The sequence below is a fragment of the Homo sapiens genome, chromosome 3, assembly GCF_000001405.40.
Source record: "Homo sapiens chromosome 3, GRCh38.p14 Primary Assembly".
In the NCBI taxonomy this organism is placed as follows: Eukaryota; Metazoa; Chordata; class Mammalia; order Primates; family Hominidae; genus Homo; species Homo sapiens.
Genome location: NC_000003.12, coordinates 122,112,310 through 122,122,310, shown reverse-complemented (window position 1 = coordinate 122,122,310; position 10,001 = coordinate 122,112,310). Strand labels below are relative to the sequence as shown.

Below are 10,001 nucleotides of genomic sequence, written 5' to 3'. Positions count from 1 at the left end.
TTCTCTATCTGAGACCACCTCAGCCTGTATTTCATTGTCCATATTACTATCAGCATTTTGGTCAAAGCCATTCAACAAGGCTCTGGGAAGTTCCAAACTTTCCTACATCTTCCTGTCTTCTTCTGAGCCCTCCAAACTGTTCCAACCTCTGCCTGTTACAAAGCTCTGCCACTTACAAAGTTAACAATGTTGGGTAAATTACTCTGACTTATCTCTGTGTTTATATTTTCTCATCAGCATAATGGGCATAATATTCCATTACCTACGTCACAGGGTCATTGTGAGGATTAAATAGGATAATGAGTTTAAAGGTTTAGATGAGTGACGGGTATATGGTAAATGTGAAATAATGTTAGCTAGTACTATTCTGCCTAATGACCTCTTTCAACCTTCTTTTTCTTTCCCCTAGTCTTAGAATACAGCAGTTCAGAGAATTTAATATACAAAGGAGGGATGTTCTCACCAAAGGGCATGTTAATATTTCATTCAATCTTTAAACAGATATGTTTTGAGAGAACAAAAAAGAATTCTGAAAAGAATACATGATAGCAGAAATAAAAATACAACAGAAGTTAGAAGATAAAGTTGAGGGAATCTTTAAGAAATACAACAAAAGACAAAAAGATGGACAATAGAATAGACAACTATCTTAGTTGTCTGAGGATCCATTGGAGAGAAATTAAACACATTCCTGCCCTCACAGAGTCTAGGTAATTTTCTTTTTTCCAGAGTTTTCCTGGCTCCTCTCACATGCTGTATGTGTATATATGCATTTATTTTATAATCATGGTGTTTTCAAGGAATATTTTTACATTAAGCTTTTGTTTAATGTACATGTAAGTACATAATTAAAAAATTACACACTACAGGTTACAAACTCAAAAGTAAGCTTCCCTTCCTTATTCCAGATTTCTTAGTTGTCCTCAAAAACAACCATTCTTACTTGATTTTTTATGACTTATTACTGAGATAAACATATAGAAGTATACAAGCCTCCTTTCTCAAATAATGGTAGGGAAAAGGGAGGAGGAGAAGATACAGGATGCGTGAGAGGCTTCTAGCCATAGAGATGTAAAGAGAAAGGAAGTACATTCAGAGGACAGAGCAGGGAACATCAGACCACAAGGGTTGAGTAGTACTCTTGAAGCCAAAGCAGAAAATGTAGACTTTTAAATGAATGTAACAAGCATTTATTAAAAACTGTGCTGCACAAAACATGTTAGAAACTAGCCAGGTGCTAGGAGTCTAATCAAGGCAGGGGCAGGGTAAAAACATGGGAATATTACATGGACAAGCTTGTCTAGCATGGCAGTCTATAACCCTTGAGGGTTTACATAAAATAAAGGAACATTTTTGTGGCTCAGGCTCCCCAGAGTTCTCTTTATGTTTGGGCAGAGACTGCCCCATCCCTTAGTGATCCCACCTTAGAGCCAGGTTTTCAAAGTCATTTCTCCCAGTATATCTGTCTCTGTATGCAAGTTTCCTCTGGTTGCCTTGAGCAAAAACAATCATCCAACTCAAATTTGCTAGCCCTATGCTGGGCCAGCCCACGTTCCCGTAGGACATCTGTAGGCTAAGTAAGCCCCGGGTGATCTGTGTCTTGGTCTTCCTAATTCCGTTGCAGCTCTTCCTCTCTCAGCCAGGAGTGGAAAGTCCTAAGCCTCCTTCCATTCATCCCATTATCAAGGTGATGGCTCTCCCTCCCCAGCTCTGCTTCCAGGAAGATGACATCCCAATAACTTGGGTATCACCAAAACCCCTCCCTGACCACCAGGGAAACTGCTGTCTGTCTTATGTCCATTTGGACAGACTATCCATCTGTTGCTTGTTTCAAGACTTGTTGATGGGGTGGACAGACCAGACATTTCATGTATTTCTGTGGATCAAGATCTCTCTTTTTTCTCTCTCTCTCTCTTTTGAGTATTGTGATCTCTTTTGGTTCTTTCACAGCTTCCCCAGGCCATCTCACTAGTCAGTTCTTCAAGAGAAACAGGGTTCACAAGCTCTGGCATTTTCCTGTTTATTCAGTTCTCTCCACTATGGCTTGTTGGGTGGGGCAAGCCTCCTCAATATTAGCAACAGCCCAGATAGAAGTGGCTCCAGGTTCTATCTCTGCCTCTCCTAATTTCCCCAAATTTAGGTTGGTCTGCTCATTGTTGCCTGTACCCTAGGCCACCGTTTTCCTTACTGACCCTGACAGAGGGATGAGAACTCCTTAGCAGGGGTAGACTTTTCTCTAGAGCATAGTAATCACACTATTACAGTACATAGATCTCTATGTTTCAAGATATTAACACTATAAGGTCATAAATACATAAGTCCCACCCAGACTGAGGAGGTAGTTGTTTAGTCACAGGTACACACAAAATTCAGTGGGGCACCAGCTTAGAATTCTGGGCAGATAAAAGGCAGTTTTCCAGAAATTGAGAGGTCTATTTAAAAAAAAAACACAATCTATGAAATTAAGAGAAGAATCTGATCTGGAGGAGGTATTGGTCCTAAATTTTATTTCCAGGTCATGAGCCATTAAGCTGGGCTTGGCCCATAAGTGTGCTCTGAAGTGAAAAGAAGCAGTAAGAGAATTAAAGTCTCCTCTTGGCATACGGAGCAGAGCTGGAGTTACAGGGAGGCTATTCCACTTAGAGGGAGTCCTGGAGCCCCCTTATTACTCATGGTAATGTCTTTTTGCCTTCTGGAAGAAATCAAAAAGGTTGCCCAGGAACTTACAAAGGAAAGGGTAGAAAAAATGAATACTTGTATGGGCTTTACTCTTTAATTAAAAACATGTATCACTTTTGTCGCATGAAGATGTCTTCGAACTTTTAAAAACACGCTGGGCTTCATCAGATCTTTCAGGTATATGGATTTTTTCTCTGGAGAAATAGAAGAAAAGATTAGGTGATATTTCACATTTGAGCTACTTTCTTTTTCTAGATTTCAATGATAGGGCAGAATAGAGGTTGCCATTGGAACAGCAATGAGGAGAAACAAACTATTGAAGAGAAAGGTGGAGAAAGCAAGAGAAAAGAACCACGGTCTACACTGTCATCTATGCTTCAAGAGCTACCCTTTATTTCTGCCTGGCCCTTCCCATGCCCTCTGCCGGTTCTCTGCTGCCTGCCCTCTGCAGGCTCTTCCAGACCATTTCTGAAACTGAGTGTGACAGGGTAGGCAGGATTTCAGCACCCTTTCTCATTGTCCAAGGGTGCCCGGAATTATTAGTTTTGTTGCTAGAATCACAGTGGCTGGTATATCTGGATTAGTGCTGGGTACTCTCGGTTGTCTCTGCACCCTGGGGGTTATGACCCTATCTCTGAAACCAGGCTTGTGACTGAGGGTTGCTTTGATCCTATGGGTATGCAGTCAGAGCCTTGATATTCCTGAGAGCTTAATTTCTCAGGAGGGATAGAGGTACAGACTATCTGATAGCTTCACGTTGTGAAAGGACTGATCACCACGAACTTTTATGTATTCATCATGCATCAATCATTCTTTCAACATTTATTGAGAACCTGCTATATGCCAGGCACCATGCTAAGTGCTAGCAGCACAATGATGAGCTTAACTGGTATGGTCTCTGCTCTTCATAGGATTTAGTTAAGTCTAGTTTATAGAGTTTAATAAGATAATTACACAAATATGTAAGCATAATCTGGTGTTATTAAGAAAAAGCCAAGGGATCCACATGACACTGTAACAAGTTGACATTTTCTAGTTTGGGAAAGGGTTTTTAAGAAAGTGCTGCTTGAGGCAAGATCTGAAGAATGAGGTAAAGAAGTGGCAGAAGAACATCTAAACAGGGCCATAGCAAATACTAAGATGCTCAGGCTGAAGCAAACATGTTATCATTCCCCACTTCTTCATTTATTCATTCCACACATGTAGGATGCCCACTAATCTAGGCACTGTGCCAGGTACTGGGGTTACTGTGGCAGATAAGATGAAGCCCATGTTCACCACCTCTGAAGTCTTTGGTATTGACTTTTACTTGACCATGACAGAGCTTGTCATGCTTTCTGGGCATTGTGCATTGGATACCCTGTCATCCATTATCAGGTTATTTTCTTCCAGTTCTTAACTAGTTTTATTTTCCTCTCCCTCTCCATTAGTTCAGGTTTGCTGAGGTCTCAACATATGTTAGGCATAAGCCTATTCAAGTAACAGGCACTCTGGGGATTATACCTCTCTCTCATCAATGTCTCAGGGTCAGGATTTACCTTTTCTTGGTCTGTTCACTCTCTTCCCTCTCCATTGTGTTGGTTCCTGAAAGACACCAAGAACAATCTTCAAAAATGTATTCCTCCTAGATACCAAAAGAAGGAAAGTTTGAAAAGGCTTCAAAGTTCTGGGACTGAGAGAGAAATTGTTGTGACTTTATATATGGAAGAGATAGTTACTCAAATGATGCAATTTCAGGGGGATTGGGAAGAAGTTTCTTGCATTCAAAAAGTATATGCCTTCCCTTTCTCACTGTGCCTTAAATTCTAACACTGGAAATAGATTTTTCACTTATATCTCTATCCTGGCTAACCAAAAAATACCATTGGGAGGGGTAATATATTTAGTTTTAGCAATCATTTTGTGATTGGAAGAGTTTCTAATCCTTTTCTGAAAGCAAGGTTTATAAGGAGGAGGAGAAGAAGTCTTGAAGATGTTGATGCCTAAATCGGCTAGCCAGATGGTGCTAAGAATATTACACAATGTTGCATGGGCAAGGCCAAGTGGGAAATTTCTAGCCAGCTAGACCTCACAAAGCCTGAGTTGCTATTGATAGGGACTTGCTACTGACACAACTTGGGATGTAAATTTCTCTAGGCTGACTGTTGTGATGATGCTATTGTCCCACGTAAACTCCAACAGGTTGCTAACCTGGGTGTCCATGGAGGTATTTATAGACCACAAGAATCCACTCAACAATACCTCTGATGGTTTTGTGATTCTGTCTTTACTAAATAGAGCATTCTTGAACACTTCCTGTCACTGGAAGTTCTCTTTTATGTGTGTATGTGTGTATTTAAAAACAATCAGCTTTTATGAGGCCACAAAGTCATAAGAATGATATAATGGACTTGGGTACTTGGGGGGAAGAGTGAGAGAGAGGTGGATGAAGGATAAAAGACTACACATTGGGTACAGTGGACATTGCTCGGGTGACAGGTGCATCAAAATCTCAGAAATCACCACTAAAGAACTCATCCATGTAACCGAAAACCATCTGTTCCCCAAAAACTATTGAAATAAAATAAAAATAAAAGATAAAAACAATCAGCTTTATGGAGGTATAATTAATAAATAATAAAACCCAATCATTTTCAGTTTAGAGTTTGGTGATTTTAACGAATATATATAGTCACGTAACCACCACCACAATCAAGATCGAGAACATTTTTATAAGCCAAAATAGTTCGCTTTTCAGCTGATTCCTTTCCCCCATCCCATGGATAACCATGAATCTACTTAAAATAGTTTTGCTTTTTCTCAAATTTCATATACATGAAATTGTATAATGTGTATTCTTCTTGTGCCTGGATTGTTTCACTTAGCATAATGCTTTTGAAATTTATCTATGTTCTTGTGTATTATTAGTAGTCCATTCCTTTCTATAGCTTTGCAGTATTTCATTGTATAAATATACCACCGCCAACTGATGAAAATTTAGAATGCCAGGTTTGGTATTATGAAGCAAGCTGCTATGAACATTTGTGTATGAGTCTTTATATATTTTTAAATTTTTTAAAATTTCTGTTTGGTAAATGTCTAGGATTTCTGGGTTGTATAGCAGTATATGAGAGTTTCAGTTGCTTCATATCCTCTCCAACACTTGATGTTTATCAGACCTTTTAATTTTAGCCATTCTAGAGGGTGTGCAGTGGTATCTCATTATCGTTTTAATTTGTACTTCCCTGATGACTAATGATGTTGTGACTGTGCTCATCGGCCATCTGTATATCTTCTTCTGTTATGTATCTGTTCAAGTCTCTTCTTCTTGCCTTTTATTAAATGGATTGTCTTCTTACTAATGAGTAGCAATATGTAATTATATACTGGATACAAGTCCTTTATCAGATATATATTTTGCAAACGTTTTCTCCCTGTCTGTGGTTTGACTTTTCGTTTTTTAAACAAAGTCAAAGAACAAAAGTTTTCCATATTGATGACATCCATTTTATCTTTTTATGATATGGTTTTTGCTTTCTGTGTCCTATCTAAGAAGACTTGCCTAACTTAAGGTTACAAAGATTTTCTCCTCTGTTTTCTTTTGGAAGTCCTTTCATTTTAATTCTTAATATATAAGTTACTTTGTGTGTGTCTAGGTTCATACTTTTTCCATGTGGATATCTAATTGTCCCAACACTATTTGTTGAAAATACTATCCTTTCTGCATGGAATTACCTTGGTAGCTTTGTCAACAGTGTGAATCTATTTTTGACTCTCTATTTTGTTCCATTGACTGATATGTCTGTCCTTTTACCAATATCACACTGTATTAATTACTATATATAGTAAATATTGAAATTAGGTAGGTTAAGTCCACCTTTGTTCTTTTTTTTTTTTTTTTTTTTTTTTTTTGAGAGGGAGTTTCACTCTTGTTGCCCAGGCTGGAGTGCAATGGCACGATCTCAGCTCACAGCAACCTCTGCCTCCCGGGTTCAAGCAATTCTCCTGCCTCAGCCTCCAGAGTAGCTGGGATTACAGGCATGCGCCACCATGCCTGGCTAATTTTGTATTTTTAACCTTTGTTCTTATTTTTCAGAATTGTTTTGGCAATTGTAGATTCTTTGCATTTCCCTATAACTTTTCGAGTAAGATTTTTAGTATCTATTAGAGAGCTTACCAGGATTTTGATTGTGATTACATTTAATCCATAGATCAACTTGGAGAGAATGGTTATCTTAACATCTAGTCTTCTGATTCATAAACATGGCCTATGTCTCCATTTATTTTGGTTTACTTTAATTTCTCCAGTAGTAATATTGTATAGTTTTCAGTATATAGACCTTGTACTTGTTTTGTTAAATTTATTTCCAAGTTTTTAATATTATTTGATGCTATTATAAATGCTATTAATTTTTTTCAATGTACAATTGCTTTTGTTAGTATATAGAAATAATTGATTTTGTGTATTGACTTTGTATCCTGTGTCTTTGCTACACTCACTTATCAGTTTTAATAGGTTTTTGATAGATTCCTCAGGATTTTCTACAAGCATGATCATTATCTGTGAAAAAAGACAGTTTTACTTCCTTTCCAATCTGTATGTCTTTTATTTCTTTTTCTAGTCTTGTTTCTCTGGCTATGACCTCCAGTACAATGTGGAACAAAAGTAGAGAGAGTAGACATCCTCCCCACATTCGCCATCTTAAGGTAAAAGCAATCAGTCTTCTATCATGAAATATTATGCTAACAGAAGAATTTTTGGTAGATGTCCTTTGTCAGGTTGAGGAAGTCATCTTGTATTCCTATTTTTATGAGAGCTTTTCTTTCCATTTAAAACTATGAATGGGTATTAATTTTGTCAAAAGTTTTTCCTGTATCCATTGACATGATCATATGTTTTTTTCTTTTTAGTTTATTTATGTAGTAAAGGTTATTGCCTGATTTTTGAATGTTGAGCTTACCTGTGTTTCTTGAATAAACCCCACTTGATCATGATGTATTATACTTTTAACATATTGCTAGATTTTAGTTGCTAATTTTGTTAAGCATTTCACGAGAGATGTTTGTAGTTTTCTTTTCTTGCAATGTCTTTTCCTAGTTCAGTATCAGGGCTCCCCTGCCTTCAGAGGGGCCTGGACACTGGCTCCAGGCAGCAAACTAGAGCAATCATAGGGCTTATCTCATTTTTTCTTTCCTTCACTCAGGGACTACAGTTTTCTGCTGTCTGTCATCCGATCTCTGAAAACAGTTGTTTCATATATTTTGTCTGCTTTCTAGTTGTTTATGGAAAGAGGGCAATTCCTATAGCAGTTAATCCTTTGTTGGAGGAAGCAGAAGTCTACTTCTTCTATACAATTTTAAAGACTATTTATTTATTTATTTATTTATTTATATTTTTTAAGACGGAATCTTGATCTTCTGTCACCCAGGCTGGAGTGCAGTGGTGTGATCTTGGCTCACTGCAACCTCTGCCTCCCAGGTTCAAGCGATTCTCCTCTCTCAGCCTCCCAAGTAGCTGGGATTACAGGTGCCTGCCACCACACCCAGCTAATTTTTGTATGTTTAGTAGAAATGGGGTTTCACCATGTTGGCCAGGCGGGTCTCGAACTCCTGATCTAAGGTGATCTGCCTGCCTCAGCCTCCAAAAGTGCTGGGATTACAGGTGTGAGCCACCACCCCTGGCCTAAAAGACCTTTTAATTGTTAGAAAAGTCTCTCTTAATTCCTTATACCCTCTCATAACCTTCATTCATAGAGATGCCCTTCAGAGTCATACCATCAAGCTCAATCTTTGCATCCCATGGTAGCTCTTCAGATATTTGAAGACAGTATCTCTGTTCTCTCCAGGCCTTCTTTCAGGTGAAGCATCATCAGTTACTTGAGCTATTTCTTAATTGACTGAGTTCCCAGATGCTTTATAAATCTGGTTATGTTCTATTTTTGTAAAGTTTCTTCTTAAAAATAATGGTGTTTATAAGGACATGAATAGACAATTCTGAAAAGAAAATATACAAATGGCCAACAAACATGAAAAAAAGTTCAATATCACTAACTATCAGGGAAATGCAAATTAAAACCACCATGAGATACCACCTTACTCCTGCAAGAATGGCCATTATTAAAAAATCAAAAAATAATAGATGTTGGCATGGATGTGGTGAAAAGGGAACATGTTTACACTGCTGGTGGGAATGTAAACTAGTACAAACACTATGGAAAACAGTATGGAGATTCCTTAAAGAACTAAAAGTAGAACTCTACTATTTAATTCAGCAATCCTACTACTGGGTATATACCCAAAGGAAAATAATTCATTATATGAAAAAGACACATGCACACGCATGTTTATAGCAGCACAATTTGCAATTCCAAAAATAAGGAACCAACCTAAATGTCCATCAACCCATGAGTGGATAAGGAAAATGTGGTAAATATCCCTCATGGAATATTACTCAGCCATAAAAAGAAACAAAATAATGGCATTTGCAGCAACTTTGATGGAACCAGAGACCATTATTCTAAGTGAAGTAACTCAAGAATGGAGAAACAAATATTGTATGTTTTCACTGATAAGTGGGAGCTAAACTATGAGGATGCAAAGACATAAGAATAATATAATGGACTTTGGGGACTCAGAGGAAAGAGTGGGAGGGGTGAGAGATAAAAGACTACACACTGGTGCAGTGTACACTGCTCGAGTGACAGGTGGCACCAAAGTCTCAGAAATCACCACTAAATAACTTATCCATGTAACCAAAAACCACCTAGTTTAGTTCAGTAGTTCCCAAAAAACTATTCAAATAAAAATTTTGAAAAAGAATCTTATAAATGTAAAAAAAGGTACTTATAGTTGAATACAGTATTTCAGATGTCTTCAGATTAACACAAAATGAATTATCCTTTTATACCCATGACAAAATAGTCACCATATCAAAAAAAGCCACTGTCAAAAAAATGAAAGCAGACAATTAAAAGGTAGATTCTAAACTTTTAAATTTGCTTACAAATTCAGCATTTTGAAGGGGAAATGTGATGATATCACTAACTTTCAGTCTTTAAGCCTGTGAATATTTCTGTTTAAATGTTGGTTAAAAACGGATCACGAGGTCAAGAGATCGAGACCATCCTGGCCAACATGGTGAAAACCCATCTCTACTGAAAATACAAAAATTACCTGGGCTTGGTGGCACGTGCCTGTAGTCCCAGCTACTTGGGAGGCTGAGGCAGGAGAATCGCTTGAACCTGGGAGGCAGAGGTTGCAGTGTGCTGAGATCGTGCCACTGCACTCCAGCCTGGTGACAGAGTGAGGCTCTGTCTCACACACACACAAAAAAAAAATTAAAA

At 37.9% G+C, this 10,001-nt stretch overlaps 1 protein-coding gene across 5 annotated transcripts in view; it reads right to left on the bottom strand.

Annotated features, from left to right (window-relative positions):
* CD86 (CD86 molecule) overlaps nucleotides 1,175-10,001 on the bottom strand; it is a 65,775-nt gene continuing 56,948 nt past the window's right edge. For all 5 annotated transcript variants that reach the window (NM_175862.5, NM_001206924.2, NM_001206925.2 and 2 more), the window contains 2 exons: nucleotides 4,218-4,263; nucleotides 1,175-2,873 (listed from right to left, as the gene is read on the bottom strand). In NM_175862.5, coding sequence (NP_787058.5) covers nucleotides 2,777-2,873; nucleotides 4,218-4,263 — 143 coding nt within the window. In that variant the 3' untranslated portion in view covers nucleotides 1,175-2,776. The remainder of the gene's footprint in view (nucleotides 2,874-4,217; nucleotides 4,264-10,001) is intronic.